At 34.9% G+C, this 19,743-nt stretch overlaps 1 protein-coding gene across 8 annotated transcripts in view; it reads left to right on the plus strand.

Annotated features, from left to right (window-relative positions):
• TPP2 (tripeptidyl peptidase 2) overlaps window positions 1–19,743 on the plus strand; it is an 82,973-nt gene that overhangs the window by 50,463 nt on the left and 12,767 nt on the right. For 2 of the 8 annotated variants that reach the window (XM_005254070.3, NM_001330588.2), the window contains exons 22-27: window positions 1,459–1,703; window positions 1,960–2,038; window positions 3,911–3,949; window positions 9,608–9,759; window positions 16,200–16,296; window positions 17,347–17,477. In XM_005254070.3, the coding sequence (XP_005254127.1) occupies window positions 1,459–1,703; window positions 1,960–2,038; window positions 3,911–3,949; window positions 9,608–9,759; window positions 16,200–16,296; window positions 17,347–17,477 (743 nt within the window). Of the gene's footprint in view, window positions 1–1,458; window positions 1,704–1,959; window positions 2,039–3,910; window positions 3,950–9,607; window positions 9,760–16,199; window positions 16,297–17,346; window positions 17,489–19,743 lie in introns of all 8 variants that reach the window. The other 6 variants (XM_047430579.1, XM_047430578.1, NR_160411.1 and 3 more) reach the window with 3 other exon arrangements.

The raw sequence follows: 19,743 nt of genomic DNA on the forward strand, positions 1-19,743 counted from the left end.
AATTATAGCTTTGTGTTTAGTACTTTTGCAAACTGTGAGAGCCTGTTTGTTGTAGTCGGTGAAGAACAGATGGTGTCAACTATTTCACCATGTAGTTGTGCTGAATTAGAGGAGGACAAGGGTGAACCTTGCCCACACTGGCCAGCATAACTTTTGGTGTGTGGTGTTTCTCCTTCCTATACACTGATTCTACCTATCTGAAGGTAGAATCATCAAAGCATGCATCAAAGAGATGCGAGCCTCTTGAAATGATCCTAAGTCTGAGGGGGCTAAAGAGAGCACTGCAGCAGTGGCCGCATGTCTTCAGTTCATTTGTACTTTTAAATTTACTACCTCGTTGGACAACTCTGTAATGAGCACTTACTACATACCAGGCACTATGCTTTGTGCTGTTTTATTGAAGGGAAAAATCACATAATTTATAGACATTTTATCCCTTAGATATTACTGCAAAGAAATGAGATATTTCCTGTAATATGTATAATTTTATGTTGACAAATGAAAATAATTTATGGAGATTTTTTTCAATTAGTTGTTAAAGGAATGGTATCGATTTTCCTCAAAGCAAGTAGCAGTCACATCTCATTACAGACTGGCCTACTGCAGTGCTATTATTTTGGTTACTTTTTAAATCTCAGAAAAAGTGGCTGACACAGGATACAGCATCTCTTCCTCTTGAACCTGTTAAGTGGATAATAGATTTGTATCCCTTGATCTCTATTGGTTTCCTGTTTTTTTCCTGTCTGTAATAAAGGAGTGACATTTTGGTTGTAATTTGAAGATCAGCTGGGCATGGTGGCACATGCCTGTGATCCCGTCTACTCAGGAAGCTGAGGTGGGAGGATCGCTTGAGCCCTGGAGCTCTAGGCTATGGTGCACTATGATTGCACCAGTTAACAGCCACTGCACTTCAGCCTGGGCAACATAGTGAGTCCCCCTCTCTAAAAGGAAATAAGGATTACCAGTAGTCATAAGTTACACGTGTGTGTGTGTGTGTGTGTGTGTGTGTGTGTGTGTGTATTTGTCCTAGATATTCTATGGTGCCTCAATTTTGCTCATTTTTTTGGTAGTGTTTCTTATATGTCTCTGAGGGACCCATGAACTAGAAAATCACTGCTTTTGTCATTCTCAAGCAGACACTGAGTTTTGCTAAAAGTGTGGGAGTATTCTGTCGTTCTGGAAAGAATGAGGGCTTTGAAGTCAGACCTGACTTCAGCTCTCTTATACTTTACTCTGTGTGATGTTAGGCAAGTCACTTGATGTCCCTGATCCTGTCTGCTCACCAGCGTACTAGGGACTTTATGTGTTATATGAACGTCTGGATAGTTAGTTCCTTGCACTGTACCTCACATATTATGAACAAGTCTGTGAATGGTAACTTTCACTTTATCCTCTTTCAGTGATTTCCGTTGACTTGGTTAAACTTAACTTTTCCCAAATGTTGTTTTTCTTTTTCAGTATTCTTTGAAACTGGAGAAAGGAGATTATACAATTCGACTACAGATTCGCCATGAGCAAATCAGTGATTTGGAACGCCTTAAAGACCTTCCATTTATTGTTTCTCATAGATTGTCTAATACCTTGAGCTTAGATATTCATGAAAATCATAGTTTTGCACTTCTAGGGAAGAAGAAATCAAGCAATTTGACATTACCACCCAAATATAACCAGCCATTCTTTGTTACTTCCTTACCTGATGATAAGTAAGTGATAACATTGCTTATACTTACTGCCCATCGTATACACTGTAGTCCTTTTAATGTCAGTTTATGACATCTAGGCTAAATTTAGAGGATGTAGTCATTTTTTTTTTGGCTGAAGTATTTCTTCCTTTGATTTTTGAAGTCTTAGCTATGGGAATGAATTCAGTGTGGAATTGTTTTCATGTTTTTCCCCTTACTTGTCTTTGTGAAACTTTCTCTTTTGTTGCTTTTTTTCTCTTTGAATTCTCTTGTTTAGAATACCTAAAGGGGCAGGACCTGGATGCTATCTTGCAGGATCCTTAACATTGTCAAAGACTGAACTAGGAAAGAAAGCTGTAAGTATTAGTTTTTTAAACACTGAAATTACCTATTAAAAAATTTCATTTCTTTAAAGATAAGAATTAATTCCACATTTCAGAATGGATAAAAGAGAAGATATACTCTTGGGGAAAAAAATTTAATCCTTTTTTCCCAGGTTACTAGTGAAAGTCAGTTAATATTTAGTTGTCTTTTAAAATGTATGCTACTTTTGAAATATTTAGGCTTCTTTTTCACAAGCCTACAGTACTCAGGCCCTGAACCTGTCTTACCTCCTACGGCTAATACACTTGAACTTCCTGTGAAACATGTAAATACAAATCAAACTTGGCTTAAATACATGTGATATTTAAGATTAGAACATGTTATAGAAATTTAACCAATAAGATTGGTTGTCCATATAAGATTATGGACATAGGAATAAATCAGATTATCTTGGGGTGCTTTTAAAAAGTAGTCAGAACAATTACCCTAAAACATGTTTCTTCACACTTCTACAGACCTATCTCATTGGAATTTCACATGGTTAAGTAGGAAAATATGAGATGTTTCTTTTGGTATTGCCTTTTAATTTCAAAATGATGCTTTTTTTAGAAATATGTTTCTGGTTGTTGTACTTTAGACATATATGTTACAGTTTTATAAGTACCTACCTGTTTTTGTTTTTTCCTTCTATGTTTTCATTACAAATTTATTATGAGAATGATGTTTATATAGATCTATCACCTTTTGTCATAATAATCATTTTAGCTCAATGCCAGTAAAAGTTGTCATTCTTAACAGTTTTGCATTTCTCTGTACTATTACTTCTTACAGAGCTAAGTAAGCCTGCTACATAAATGCTGTTATCAAAATGAGTAGTTCTCATACATCTTAAGAATTATATTTATTTTTTGCCACTATTGAACCAAAAGCCATTTATTTACTGTCATTGAAGCATAATTGGGGAAACTTGTGCTTAGAAAGTTGCCTACCCTGACATTTCTTGGGTCTCATTTCAGTTTATACTGTTTATACATACGTACTTTAGTATAATTTGAAGTAAATCAATAGTTAATGGTTTGTAATTAATACATGCACTGATTTAAGAAACCCTGGTAGTTTTTTTTGTAGATTTCATTTCACAGGAAGCATAGCTGCTCCAGCTATTGGGCGTCAGCTGTGAATTTTCGTTCAGATGACAGATGACACTTTGAAGAGTCTGCTTACTTGTGAAGAGTATAACAGAAAAGCATTATTAGTAAAAGTGGGCTTTTAGCAATTCAGAAATAGTTACTACTTCCCAGTTACATTGTTTTAGGAGACAATTGTGAAATTAAATTATAAATATGTGGTGTTAACTATGGTAGCTATTTATCAAGGGAGACCTTCCTGGGAGAAAGCAGTAACTTAAAGCTGTTGAGTTCATTATAACTTCCATCACATTGTTTATGTAATCTTTTCTCAGTGGTTTAGCGTTTTCTTGTTTTTTGGTAGTTGGGAAGGTAACTTTCACTTCACTTTGACTTTCACAGTAACTTTGTTGCTTTTTATAAGAATGCATAGGCAATGGGGTTGTTGTGGTACCCTTTAATCAGACTAGACCATCAACTAAATTTACTATTTTAAGAAATGCTTTTATAAGCAATAGATTTTGATCTACTAAATTTTTCAATAAGAAGTTGACATGTACTCTTAGTAATAACATATTTGAGTACTTTTTCTTATGTAAGGAATGAAAGTGGCAATGTTGCTTTCTTTAAAAGCATGCCATCTTAATCACAGACCTGAGCCTTCTAAGTGGTGTAACACAGGTGGAACATAAACTGAAAGACAATTAGACAGAGGTTCTGTCTCCATCCTGTGTAGATTATGCATGTTTTCTTACAGAATGTCGTTCTAACTCCCAGGGGCAGTCTGCAGCAAAACGACAAGGAAAATTTAAAAAGGTACTGATTGTCAGTTCTTAAAAAAGATGTCTTAAAGCCTTATTTGCATATTAAACTTTTTTCTGTCACTATTATAAACCTTTTTTTTAATAAGTCTCCCTTAGTTTCCTTTCTTTGCATTCTAAAGTATAGTGCTCTTAGCTGTACTTAGAAGCATTGTTGACATACTGCTTTTCTAAAGGTTTTTTTTTTTTTCCCCACCATAAATTCCTGGATGACTCATTTTCTCTGTGTATACAAAAATTTTAATGCTATTCATTTCTTGCTACAGATATGATAACAAGTAGCAATATTTGAAATTTTTCATATTTACAATTTTATAGAGAGATGGATGTGATAATTTTTTTTTTTTAGCCATATAAGCTAAAGCACTTATTTTTAAAGTCTAAAAGCACTTTTAAATTGGGTGATTTGATTAATAAAATGTTGCAGCTTTTTAAAGCGAACTTTATTCCCTGCTCTTGTATCCATTCTGGTTCTGAAAGAAGAGAAACAATAAAGATCAATGGATGTAGCAGGAACAGAAATAAGGACTGTTCACTGACAATTAAAGCTTATGCTAAGAACACAGATTTTAAGCCCATCGCTACTAAGTGGTCTGATCAGCCTCTCTGCAGCATATTAAGCAATCTTTGATTTACTGCTGGGGCCAGATTTAACTCAGAAAAGAAAATGTCTGCTATAAATATATTTTAGGGCCAGGCGCAGTGACTCATGCCTGTAATCCCGGCACTTTGGGAGGGCAAGTTGGGCAGATCCCTTGAGCTCAGCGGTTTGAAACCAGCCTGGGCAGCATGGTGAAACCCTGTCTCTACAAAAAAATGCAAAAATTAGCCAGGCGTGGTAGCACACACTTATAGTCCCAGCTACTCTATTGGAGGCTGAGGTGGAAAGATCGCTTGAGCCTGGGAGGTGGAGGCTGCAGTAAGCTGAGATCACACCACTGCACTCCAGTCTGGGTGACAGAGTGAGACCCTGTCTCAAAACAAAACATACATACATATATATATATATATATATATATATATATATATATATATATATATATATATATATAAAAGGGACCACATATTTAATAAGCTTTCTGGTGAAGACGTGCTACGTCATTCAACATTTTCATGATTTCTTTTTAAACAGAAAGAATTACAGTGGGAAAATCAGTAATGTCCTAATGTATACTTGTTAATTAGTAGTGATATGGAACTGGGGAATCACCATTCTATAACAGCTTATCCTTTATTAAAATGTCTTCTGAAATGTCCATATTATTACATAATAGTAAATAATTTGTCCAAACAAAATACAGATACTAGGAATCATCTTTCTGGAGAAAGATCTAAAGATCAGTATTTCTCAACTGGGTGTCTTGACCGTTTGGGGGCCACGTAATGGGATAAAAACAGCATTTTTTTAAAATAGGAAATGTCAGTTCATCAGACTCATAAAATTGTAATTTCATTTTATGTATTAATGTGTATATCTTTGGGACATTGTAAAAATAGTTTGCAAGTTACTGCTTTAGAGAACAAGGAATAGGTATTCTAGGAATCTATTAAAAATAGAAGGCACTTATCACGAAGGCCATAGCCAATTATTTTTCTTCTTATTTTTGTTGACCTTTTGCAAGTTTGGGTAGATTTTGTTTGAATTAGGTTGTATAGTTAGGAAAACACTGAATGAATAGGAAGGCATTTACTTGGTGATTAGTAAAGCTTCATTTGAAGAACTTGGCAGCTAGAGTTATCTCTGCTCGTTCCTTTCTGTCTTCAATGCAAGTACACAATAAAGCTCTTATTTTAGAAATAATTAGTATTACAGTTTTATAGTCACATTACAAAGAAAAAAATACATGTATAATTTCCGGTTGATTAAGATAAATAGCATTTTGTATATAATTCTTAATAGATTTTTTCCTCTGGGTTTCAGTGACTTGATTTGAAACGGTATGTCACCCTTTTTAAAATTCCTTGTAAAATGCAATAATATATTTTCTGTTTGTTTGTATGTTTTTTTAAGAGACAGTCTCACTCTACACTCCAGGCTAGAGTACAGTGGCATGATCGTAGCTCACTGTTGCCTCCAGCTCCTGGGCTCAAGTGATCCTCCCACCTCAGCCTCCCTAGAGTGGCTGGGACTACAGGCGTGTGCCACTATGCCTGGCTAATTTTTACTTTTTATAGAGAGAGGTCTTACTACGTATGTTGCCCAAGGTGGTCTAAAACTCCCGGCCTCGGACGATCCTCCTGGCTCAGCCTCCCAAAATGCTGAAATTACAGACATGAGCCACTGCACCCAGCCTGAATATTGTCACTTTTAACAGATCATAAATAGCATTCAAATATGATATAAATTTTAAAAATAGTTTATGTGAAGCTTTTAAATTTTTGAGTATTCAGTTACTAACAATTTTAAGAACTAAAGAAATTGCCATTTTGAACCACAATTTAACTTATAGTGCGTTGTGTTGCCCAAAGAGTAGTTATTGGTTTGGCAGGTGAGTTTGACTTTCTGAATAACACTGTTCAGTTTGAACACTGTTGAAATACTTCATGAATAGCTGGAATGCCTTTTTTCTAAACTTAACATTAAATATATACTGTAGAGAAATCTTCATAGCATTTCTGCTCTGAAGATTCTTCTTGACTGTCTTTTTAAACCATAATCAAGATTTCTCAAGAATAAAGGTACAAAATTATTTCTATTAAATTGGTACTATGTTAACCCCTTGAGAATTGTCATAAAAATATTAATATTTATTGGCACAAAGAAGAAATTATTGTGATACAGCAAGTGAAAATAGCGCCATTTTTCTTTTGATTAGAAATTAAAACTACCAGGTTTATAATTTTTACTAATAAAAAATTCCCTGTCCTGAAACATCTTGTAGGATTACACTAACATTTATAATTGTTAATTTGATATATTTAACATGTAAAATGCTGATTACAAAACCTTGATTTTTGTTTCACTAAGATAATTCATCATAAACTTTCTTTGTCTCTTTTTTTGCTTTTAATGATAGTCTAAGGTTACTAGGATATCTTTTTTCCCACTTTTGATAGGTCTTTGTTAGAATTAATTGTAAATCCTAAATTAATTTTAATAGATTGTTCATTTTAAATTCAATTCTCTTTTCTCTTCTGTACTAAAACAATAGCAAATACCTCTGAGTCTGAGGAGGAAGTGCCTCACAACACATAGGCTGCCTGCCTAAGAGCAGCATACCTCTCTCCCTGATACGGTGAGGAGGTGTGGGAAGCTCAGGGAGAAAGACTGGAGACCACTCTTCTAGCACACTGGGTGGCAGAGAAGCTCAATTCCATGGAGAATGGAGCTATATTAACAGAAAGTAAATATTGGAGGCCACTTAGCCCCTTTAATTCCTAGATGTGTTGTCTTTGCTGTACAGATGACACTGATGCAGTCTGTTTCCATAAGAACTTGGTGGTAGAAGATCAGCTCAGATTTTGCGCTTACCTTGGCTTTGCTCAGGGCAGTGCCTACCCAGAGAGTGAACCTCAAGAAGGAGAGGAGCAGGACAGGCAGCTGGGTCCTGAAAGAGCTAGCCCAAGCAATAGACCTGTTTCCTTTTCCCAGTCTCATGTTTCACGTGAGGCCTTTGTTTACAGGTTCTGGCCCCCTGACCTCAGAGGGAGAATGACAGCCAGTGGCTACAAATGGATTTATATGGTTATCTGACATCAAAGTGGTTTTCTGTGCTTTAAATGAGTCAGTGTGGAGATAGGATTATTATTTTGTGTTGGAATACTATTAGAACTACAACCATAGTTCCTGTTGTTTACTGTTACATCATTTTATACCCCGAAATTGTGTTGGTGAAAATATTTAAAATGGGAATATTTGTGTCGTATATGCTCCTAAAAATCCTATTTGCGGGAGGTGAGGACTTGCAGTATTATTTTTTTACTCAACCAGAGTAAAGCTTTTTCAGTGAATGTCTTTTTGGGAACATTTGTTTCAGTTTTACAAACTTTGTTAATTAAAATGAATATAGTATTTTAATTTAGCACCATTTTAAATGCAAACCTGAAGATAGAATTTGAGGAACTGACTTAATAAATAACGACTTAATTAAGGACACCCAGTTACTGTGCCAAAAACAAATCTAGCAGGTATAGCATGTGATTTCATTTCCCAAATAATGCTTTACCTTTCACAAGTCAAGACTTATCTGTGAATAAAATAAATACAGTTACTCTCCATTTCTCTGCTGCTGTCTTCAAAGCAAAACTTCTCAAAAGAATCACAGACATGTTGACTTCCATTCTCTTTTCATCTCTGTCTCCTCCAGCCTGGACTGCTCCACTGTCCCCTGACACTGTTCTTGTCCGGGGGGGTCAGTAGGCTCTGTGCTGCCGGGTTTTCAGTTCCTTCCTTCTTCGTCGTACACTGCCTCTCAGCTAAATGGGCAGTTGATCATTTTCTCTTTCTTCTTGGTGGTTTTTCCTCAAGGCTTCCGTGATCCCAGGTGCTTTTTGCTTTCCTTTTCTCACTCACAGAGCTGCTTTTTCCATTCACTATCCCTAACTGACCTTATTCATCCACATATTTTTCAACATTGTCAGCAACACATTGGTTCTACCTTTAAAGAAGATCTCAAATCTATTCATTTTCTCCCATTTCTGCGACCCATTTTTAGTCTAAGGCAGTGTAGGGTTTCCTAGGTTTGTTTCCTAACTTGTTGTCTTCTTGCCTCCACCTTTACCCTCTATAATCTATTTTCCAAATAGAATACAAACCAAAATTTTAATCCATACAGGAACCAGAGTCATTAAACAAAAAGCAGAAATCTTTAATCATGTCACTGTCTTTTGTAAAACTCTTCTGGTATGCTTCTTAGTGCACTTGGAATACAATATATAGTATTTTTTCTTTTCTTTTTTAAACCATATTCTGTCAAGCCCTACTTAAGTTGGCTGCTGCCTGCTTTCTCAGAAGATACAGCTGTGCTTGCTTTATACCCAGCTCAGGTCTTTACACTTGCTCATCTGCTCCTTGTTCATTGAGGGTCGTTTGCGTAAGATATTACCTCTTCAGAGTGGCTTTCTATAACCACTTTGTGTCCATCGGCTCCCCCTCGTTACCTGACAGTCATTCTATCCTTTTCTGTTTTGTTTTCTTCCTATCAGATGTCAGCATCTGGTCTGTTCTTTACCTATTCTAGCATTACCTGGCACATCGCGGGGACTCAGTAAGTCCTGTTGGTTGGACTCAGTAAGTCCTGTTGGTTGAATGAAGGCATAAGCGTCCCCTTAAATTTACTTAGAGAATCTTTTCTTAGTTTGAACTTATTTCATCCCCTTCTCAGATTTAAAATGTGAAAGGTCAGTGTACTTTTGTCATCTGTCTGCCAAGTAAAGCCAAGAATACCAAATATACTCAAATGGAGAAAAGTATGTTCTTATCTCTTTTATTTTAAAGGAGATATTTGAAGTATCAGTACTCAGCATCAGTTTGTGAGAAAATTACTGTGACCAGAGATTGGAATTTTTGGTGTATTGTGACCCTTAGAATCTAGAATACAGTGTAGTACAACTTAGGTGCAGCCCATGTTACATGACATGTAGCTGTTGAAGATGATTTTGATGTATGTAAAATTAAGCATATTAATCTAAGAATCTCTCTCCACATTCGTAGGATGTAATCCCTGTTCATTACTACTTAATACCTCCACCAACAAAGACTAAGAATGGCAGCAAAGATAAGGAAAAAGATTCAGAAAAAGAGAAAGATTTAAAAGAAGAGTTTACTGAAGCATTACGAGATCTTAAAATTCAGTGGATGACAAAGTAGGTTTTTAAATGTATTTTAATTCTTTAAATGTTTAGTTCTATTTTCCCAACTATAACAATATTGTGTATATATACATAGACCGTATTTAAAATTATTAACAGCAGTTGGTAGGATTATAGGTGCTTTTAAATTTTCCTCTTTTTATATAAATGTGTAATTTATTTAAATTATAAATATATAATTTTGTGATTAAATGTTTTAATTTTTATTTTAATCACTCTAATTTGTTCTTGGAAGATAATTTTATTGGAAAGTATAAAAAAGAAAAATCACTTTTGCCCACAATTCATAAATAGTCATTGTCCTCTTATTATTATTTTTTTCCTCTGTGTTTGTACATGTAGCAGTGTGAATAAAATTAGTTTCCATTTTTCAGTTACTTTTTTATTATGATTTAACAGCCGTATAAAATACTATTTTTAATGTCTGTGTTGTATATGGTTCTATGGATGCAACATAATCTATTTAAACGTTTTATTTTGCATATATATGTTTATAGCTTTTCTTCATGATGCTGCGATAAACATTTTTATACATAAAGGTGATTTTTTAAAATTTCCATCATATTGCATCTTAAAAGTAAAAATCGTCTCGCTGTGTTTTGCCAAATTGCTTTCTGAGATGAGTATAATAATTTACACTCCATCTAGCTGTGTATGTGTGCTACTACACAATGCAAAAACCAGCCATTACTGCTGTCTTAAATTACGTCTCTAGTTATTATTAAAGGAGAGCTTTTTAGATGTTATCATTCGTTATTAGTATAGCTTCTGACAGTTGAGCATATTCTTCACCTTTTTTTCTATTCAGACATTAGGTGTTTCTGGTCGATTAAAACTTTTTACATAAAAGATATTAATGCTTTTCTGTACTTGCCACAGATTTTACTCTAGTGTACTCTTTGACTTTGGGCTTGCTTTTTACTTGAAATTTATTCTATGTAGTCAAGTCAGTTGCTTTTTCCATCTGTTATGCAATATTTCTTTTACTGCTGATATTCTATGGGAATCCTCTTCAGCTGATTATGTATGCATCCTTGCAGTTATATGGTTTTAGAGGGAATAGAAGTCATCATGATGTGAAAATATTTCCCAGAGATTGAACCATTGTAATGTCAGTTCACTTGCAAATATACCTTTCCCACTTAAAACTAAATTGTATCTCCACTGGAAGTCAAAGTCTTCAGGTCTGTCTCTGCCTGATTTTAGGATGTCATAAACAGTTGACAATATAATATAAATTCTTCAAAAGTAAAATTGCAGAGATTGTCTTCTGGCATGACAGCCTGAGGAGACCCATGATGCTGGTCCCCAGTAAAACTAGTGAAAATTATTTAAAAACAAAACAAAACAACTTTTTAAAGCCTCTGGAAATGGTCCAAAGGACATTGAGCAAATGAAGAAGCATCTATTCAAAAATACCTACAAGAATTGGATAAGAAAAGCAAGAGTCTGTGATATTTGAACCAAGACCACTGCCTCCCTTTCCTCTCCCAGTTAATGAGCCAGAAATTTTACTTCAGATCTTGCCTTCAAGAGCTCCAGCTCCTGGGGGAGGGAAGGCTTTCCTCCTTGGAGGAGGAGGACGTCATCATTTCTCATCCTGACCTACTGCCAGTTGCAGCGGCTCAGTTCCAGCTGAGTGCTCTCAAGAGGTAGGGGCTCTCTTGTAAAGTACTGTTGGGAACACTGGGGCCCCAATGCCCAGGAGGCTGTGGTTCCATACCACACGAGGCAAGCTGAGAAGACCACAGGAGAGTGCTAAGCTCCTTAAGTGGGGGTGTCACTCAAAGAAAAACATGCCATTCTTCCACTCCCTGTTCCAGAGCTTGGGCTTAGTGATTTTGCCAGTGTGGCCTAAGGAGTTCATAAAACTGATAGCTCCTAATTTCTTGCTGAAGGAATTGACTTCATTTGCAACAGAAGATGGAGAAGTCCGTGTGCCTTAAGGGCTCTCTCAAAAACAGTGGAGAAAAAAGGAATGAAAAAAATGAACAGAGCAGAGCCTCAGAGAAATGTGGGACACCATTAGTGCACCAAAGTCCATGGAACAGGAGTACCAGGAGAACAGAGAGAAAGCAAAAATATATTCAGTGAAATAATGGCTGGAAACACCCCATATTTATTGAAAGACATTAACCTACATATCCAGGGAACTCAATGAACTCAAAGTAAATGCAAAGAAATCCACAAATAGACATAGCATGTTAAAAATACTGAAAGTCAAAGATAAGGAGAAGATCTTGAGAGGAGCAAGACAAAAACTCCTCATCACTTACAAGGAAATGCTAGTAAGGTTAACAACTGACTTCTGAGCAGAAACAGTAGAGGTCAGAAAGCAGTGGGATAATATATTCAGAGTGCTCAAAAATCTCAACCAATAATCCTATATCCAGCAAAACTGTCCTTTAAAAATGAAAATGAAATAATTCCCAGGTAAACAAAAACAGAGAATTTGTTGCTAGCAAACCCACCTTATAAGAAGTACTAAAAGAAGTTATTCAGCCTGAAAGCAGGTGATCTCTGGCAGTAATTTGAATCCACATTGGTGAGAGTGGGGAAAGAAACACTGGTAAAGTTAATTATTATGGAATTATAAAAGACAGCATAAAGTTCTCATTTTTTTCCTGTTAACTAATTTAAAAAGCAGTTCTGTAAATATTGTGTATATATTAGGCCTATGTAATATTTAAATGTAATATTCTGTAATATGTATTTGCTTATAGCACAAAGGAGCAAAACTGTATTGGGCTAAAAAAATGACTGCAGATAGTAAAGTAATTATTATAACAGTTAATTAATTGGTGTATTACAGTAATAGATACAACAGATAGAATACTACTACAGAAGGAAGGAGAGGGGAATAGAGCTATAAAGGGATAACATTTCTGTATCTCACTGAAATTAAGCTAGGAAAAATCTGAAGCTGATTCTTATAAGTTAAGATGTATATGGTAAGCCTTAGAGCAACCACTAAAAAAAAAATAAAAATGAACTTGAAAAAAATCATTAAATAAATTTAAATGTTCATTTAAAAATATTCACTTAATACAAAAGAAAGCTGTATAGGAGGAACAGTGGAACAAAAAAACAGGATACATCAAAAACAAAAAATAAAATCGAAGACCTAAGTCCAAATATATCAATAATTTAAAGTTTACAGGAAATTAAGAGAATCCCATTTACAGTAACATTGAAAAAAATAAAATGTGTAGGAACATGTTTAACAAGAGATGTAAGAATTATACGTCAAAACTACAAAACAATTGTTGAAAGAAATTTAAAAGACCTGAGTAAATGGAAAAGGTATTCTTTGTCTGTGGACCAGAAGACTTAATATCATTACACTATTCTTCATATTGATCGAATGATTCAGTTGAATCCCCATCAGGATCCTTTTATAGAAATTAACAAGCTGATTCTAAAAGTCATATGTGATTCCCTGAGACTCAGAATAGCCAGACAGTCTTGAAAATGAAGAGCAAAGTAGGGCTCACACTTCCTGATTCCAAAACTTAAATAGAAAGCAACAGTAAACAAGACAGTGTTATACTGGCACAAGGGTAAGACATATATAGATCAGTGGAATAGAATTAAGAGTCCAGAAATAAAACCATGTGACTATGGTCAGCTAATTTTTAGTTTTGGCAAGGGTGCTGATGCAAAGACCATTTAATGAGGAAAGGATAGTATTTGCAGCAAAGGGTGCTGGGACTGGATAGCCATATAGAAAAAGAATGAAGTTGGACCCTTGCCTCACATCATATATACAAGTTAACTCAAAATGTATCAAAGAGCTGAAACTACAAAACTCAATGAGACGTAGTGGTAAACTTTCATGACCTTATATTTGGCAAAAGATTTTTAAAGATACCAAAAGCATAAGTAACATAAGAAAAAAAAATAGATAATTTGGACTTAATCAAGATTAAAAGCTTTTGTGCTTTTAGCATAGCATCAAGAAAGTGAAAAGAACGGCCTATTTGCAAGTTACATATTTGTAAGGAGCTTGTATGCAAAATATATAAAGAACGCTAACCTTTTTTTTTTTTTTTTTTGAGACAGGGTCTCTCTCTGTCACCCAGGCTGGACTGCAGTGGCACGATCATAGCTCACTGCAGCCTTGAACCCCTGGGCTCAAGGGATCTTCCCACTTCAGCCTCCCAAGTAGCTAGGACTACAAGTGCACGCCACCACCCCCAGCTTATTTTTTTAAGGGATGGGATCTCACTATGTTGCCCAGGCTAGTCTGGAACCCCCGGCCTCAATTAATCCTCCTGCTTCAGCTTCCCATAGTGTTGGGATTACAGGCATGAGCCACCTCCACACCCAGCCCCCAGAATATATAAATAATTCCTACAATTTCATAATACAAAGGCAAATGGCTCAATTTTTTAAATGGGTGAGTAATCTGAATAGATATTTCTATAAAGATGTACAAATGACCAGTAAGTGCATGAAAAAATGCTCAAAATCGTTAGTCTTCAGGGAAATGCACATCAAAATCACAATGAAATACAACTTCACACTTACTAGGATGACTGGAATCATAAAGTCAGATGATGAGTTTTGGCAAGTATGTGGACAAAGCAGAATCCTCAGACACTGATGGTAAGAATACAAAAATGATGCAGACTTTTTGGAAAACAATCTTGACTGCTCTTCAAATGATTAAACTTAGTTTCCATATGGCCCAGCAGTTCCACTCCCAGGTATATACCCAAGAAAAATAAAAACCTATATTCACACAAAAACATGTTGATGACAGTTTATAGCAGCATTATTCATAATGGCCAAAAGGTGGAATGTCCATCAGCTGATGAATGGACAAACAAAATGTGGTGTATCCATACAGGGGATTCCTTTTCAGCCATGAATGGGATTAATACATGCTCCAACATGAATGCACCTTGAAAATAGTATGTTAAGTGGTAGTAGCCAGTCACAAAAAGACCATGTATTATATGATTCTATTCATATTAAATGTCCAGAATGAGGAAATCTATAGAGATAGAAAGTAGATTAGTGGTTGCTTAGTGCTGGGGAGGCTGGGGAGATCTGATAGCAAAAGGGTATGGCGGTTTCTTTTTGTATTGATGAAAAATGTTTTAAAGTTGACTGTTGTGATAGTTACATATATCTGTTACTATGCTAGAAAGCATTGAAATTCACACTTAAAATGGGAAAATTGTATGGAGAAAAAATTGAAAAGGTTGTTTACCTAATAGGTGTTTTAGAAGAAAACAGCAAAAAATTATTAGCATTCCCTAGCAAAACTTTAAAAACCTTAGAACATTTTTTGGAAAAAAAAATTTATAATTAAGGTGCAGTAGTTTTAAAATGTAAAACGAAAGTGTTGATTTTGCCCTTGGATAATTGTTAGCGAAAAGAGAAAAACAGGACTTAATTTTTTTTGTACTAAGAATTAGTGTAAATTTTGTTGTCTACAAGTTAAATTTATTTTCATAGAAAGTTAGTTATAGTATCAAAATCCCGGTCAACCTTATTTTTATACTACTGTGCAGTTTTGTTAATATATTAAGTGACTTTAATGTAAGTTACCCACTTCTGGTGCTAGTTTGTATGTTAATTTGTTTTTATCCTGATACATATAATCAGGTAGAATTGGGAATTTTATTCAGCCTCCGCGTCGGGGAACATAGAATAACTCTTTATTGACTCAAGACTGGAATTTTCAGAAAAGTTTAAATTTTTATTTTTTCTAGAATTTTCAGAAAAGTTTAATAGATCTGAGACATTTTTAAATCTTTTAATCTTTCTAGCTATTTGTGAATATGCTTTTCTTCCTTTTAAATAAATATAATAGCTGGTATGTAAGAAAGCTATTGATGCATATTTTTATTTGGATATCTTATTGAACTCTTAATTGGAATAATTTTCAGTTTGATTTATTTATTTATTTTTTTTAATTAATTAATTAATTTATTTATTTTTTGAGATGGAGTCTCACTCTGTCACCCGGCTGGAGTGCAGTGGTTTGATCTCGGCTCACTGCAACCTCTGCCTCCCAGGTTCAAGTGATTCTCCTGCCTCAGCCTCCCGAGTATCTGGGACTACAGGCATGTGCCACCACCCCCAGCTAATTTTTGTAGTTTTAGTAGAGACGGGGTTTCACCATGTTGGCCAGGATGGTCTTGATCTCTTGCCCTTGTGATCCGCCTGCCTTGGCCTCCCAAAGTGCTGGGATTACAGGGGTGAGCCACCATGCCCAGCCCAGTTTGATTTATTTTTGTTTTCTAGTTAACCATTTATACTACTTGCCAATAATGATAATCCTTGTCAATGACTATACTTGTATTTCAAATTAATGTCTTATTTTATTGGCTTAAACTTCCAAACAATGTTAAATAATAGAGAAGACAAATAGTCTTTTTAAAAGAAAAAAGTAAATATTTCTCTCCTTCTTACATACATAGGCTGGATTCTAGTGACATTTATAACGAATTGAAAGAAACATATCCTAATTATCTTCCTCTGTACGTTGCACGACTTCATCAATTGGATGCTGAAAAGGTTAGACATGTTCATTCTGATATATCTTATTTTGTTTGTAATTATATAAGTTTGTGTTTTGAGGAAAAGTGCATTATCTTTCTCTTCTGTTCTTGCTAACTAAAACATGTTTTCTCAAATTGAATGTTGTGTTAAGCTGTTTTCATGAAGGTTATTATAAGACCTAGCCACTACTGTGAGTTTAGTTTAGGATTCTTGCTCATGCTTGGTCAATGAGATTAGTAATAGAGAAGATACCTTAACGATTGTTTTCATGACCTTAACCTAAAGGGCAAGGGGCAGAACGTAGTAATCCTGGCCAGATGGAAATCTGAACGCCTTCACTGAAAGAATTCCTACTTTGCATTAACTTTGTTAATGATTCTCATTTGTGAGAGTTGGCCATAGTTCTAGTCTGTCATGACATGGACCAGTTCTCATTATTCATCAAAGCAGTGGGAAAGTGCTGTCCTAATCAGTTGAAAATCATCAAGGGTTTAGAGTGAACCAGAGGGTATTTAAAGGAGATTTCTTAAAAGACTTTAACAAGAGAGAAGCAAATTGTTGGGAACATCATGGTAATCACAGTTAGACTGTTGATTATAATGTTTACTCTCATCTTTGTGTTTTTCATGATGGATCAGAAAGAAATGGTTTCATCAGCTAGGGCTTTCTTTTTTTTTCCTGTGTTCAGGTAGTGTGCAACTAGAGTAATGACAATAGCCAATCACATTTCTAGAATCTTAAGAAATACAGAAAAGGAGTTACCTTTGTTAAAAAAAAAACTTTACATTTTTATGAAGTTTATATTTTGCTTACTCTCACCATTGTACTCCAGCAGGGAATGTAAATAAGGTATTTTTATTATGCATCTGAGCTCAAGTTTTATAGAGATACCAGCAATTAGAAAAATCACAGTAGGAGATAGCAGGGAGCCCCTGGGCTACAAGTCAATTACATAGTTTACTCACACTGCAGTTGTAGGTCTCATGGTTGAGACAGCAGAAGTGAAATTGCTTTCGTATACTGATTGATATACCTATTTTTTATTATTTCTTTTTTCCTCTCCAGGAACGAATGAAAAGACTTAATGAAATTGTTGATGCGGCAAATGCTGTTATTTCTCATATAGATCAAACAGCCCTAGCAGTTTATATTGCAATGAAGACTGATCCCAGGCCTGATGCAGCTACTATAAAAAAGTACCTAACCAGTAAATAATCTTTCTTGCATCTCATTTCCTAGTTAACTTGTTTAAAAAGTAGGGACTAATATTATAGAGGATATTGCTTTTCTGATGTTTGTTATATCCTTATAATGGGAATTATCACTATTTGGATACTCCCCTCCTTAGAAATTTTAAAATAATTTTGTCCAATCTTTTTAAGAGTAAGCCCAAGAAAAGTAGTTTGCCTTCTCTACTGTTAAGTGCTGTCAAGGTAGAGGGATTTGAATATCTGTGATCAAGCAGTCCAACCACTTGAGGGTTTATGTGAATTGGACCATATCAGGAAGACAAAAATTAACAATCTATAAAATAATTTTTAAAATGTTTATTGTCCAGTAACATGAAAAACCTAATATTTGGTTTGTAATAATTACATGACAAACCTAATACGTGGTTTGTAGTGAAATAAATGATAATAAAATTAGGTTAAAACTATCTGGCAACTTTTATGAAACTGGTTTTATAGTATTAGGGAGAATAGGAGGAGAGAATTTATAGTTTTGCCTTTATAAAACCTAATGCTGTGTGTAAATAGAGAAGCTTCCCTGGGTTTATGAGTGGTTGGTATGGTTCCTTCCATGCAAGTGTGATTTCCGTATGTTGGTGTAATTAATGGTCCAGTGACTCTGAACCAAGCTGCCATTTGGTCACTTTCACCCTTCCATGAACTCTTAAACCATCACCTCATGGTAGCTCTCCCAGTGTCAGTTACTTGTTTATCACTTTTGTTTATTTTTGACTTACAGGATCATTAACTAGGTAGAAATATCCTGATTCTTTTGTGGTTATTATAACTAATAAACCAAAACTATTCAGGCTACCTGAAAATACTAAATTTTCCTTAAAAATTTTCTCAGTTTCAGTCAGTATTTTTTTCTACATAAAATACTTGGATTCCAAACTGCTAGAATTCTTTCCATTATATCATTTATATTGATACTATAGGATCTTATGAATCTTACAAGCAATAATTTTCAAGTGGGATAGAATATATTTAAAATTGCTTCTTTGGCCACTATTATTACCTTTTCATATTTTTCAAAAGAATAGTCTCAAAACATTGCCATTTTGTTGTTGTTGTTAATAATAACAGAAAATACAGCCACCATTTATTAAGTGCCGATTATGTATAAGGGACTATTGAGGGCATTTTAAATACATTGTTTTATTTAAATTTAGTCTTCCAAACAACATGGAAGGCAGGGGCCTTTGTATCCCCCTTTTAAGGAAGAGAAAACTGAAGTTCAGAGAGTTTAGATGACTTGGCCCAGGTGCCACTGCTAGGAAGTTGGAAAGCACATAGTCAAATCAGGATCTGCCTCCACAGCCAATGCCCTTTCTTTTCTCTGTATATTCTTCTCCCTTCTTGAGAAGGTTAACATAACTCAGTATTATCTCACAGAAAAAGGAGCATCGTCTGCCTCCCACCCATCCTCATTGTGTTCCTTTCTGTCTCAGGGTGATCATTGTTAATCTTATTGCAAGAGGAGGCTGGCCTTGGTCACTTTAAAACTGTCTTCCACAGATCACCAGTGATAACCAGTTGCTAAAAAGAATGGCCCATTTTGAGTCTTCTTTGAGCTCTCTGCAGCCCCCGACATTAACTATCCCATATACTTTCTAGCTTTTGTTATTTTTTACATTTTGTGAAAATAATATGATTTTCTCAAACTCGGGTGTTACATGAAATAACACATATGGTTTTCTCAGTTTTACCATCCACAGAGGAAACTCAATCTCAGCTTACAGTGAGCCATAAACTAATACGATATTAGTTTTGTTTTCTTATTGGTCTTTATCACTGTTTTTAATCTCTTTTTTTTTTTTTTTTTTTTTTTTTAGTTTCTACTCTTTGGAGATTACTAGACATTGACTATCATGGCTATTGAAATAAGCTGGGATAAAACTAGAAAAGAAGCCATAAAACTTTGTAAAAACGCTAAGAGTGGAGCTGCTTTAAGTTTTTAGCGACACTGGGTCAACTTGTTTATCCTTGTAATTAAAGAATTTCTATTTCTCTCCAGGCCTTTGCTTTGGCCTGACTGAAATAGACTCTGACCAGGTTGTGTTTGGACAGAAGACAGTATTCAGAGTTGAAATATTATACAAGATGCTATCAGGAAATACTTAGCATTTCTTACAGATGTCATCTATGGGCAAGTAGCAGCCAACTTAAGCATTAATTTCTCATTTCCATGCAAAATTGCTTTCTCTTAAATCAGTAACATCAAAAATTGTAA

The sequence above is a fragment of the Homo sapiens genome, chromosome 13, assembly GCF_000001405.40.
Source record: "Homo sapiens chromosome 13, GRCh38.p14 Primary Assembly".
NCBI classification, from domain to species: domain Eukaryota; kingdom Metazoa; phylum Chordata; class Mammalia; order Primates; family Hominidae; genus Homo; species Homo sapiens.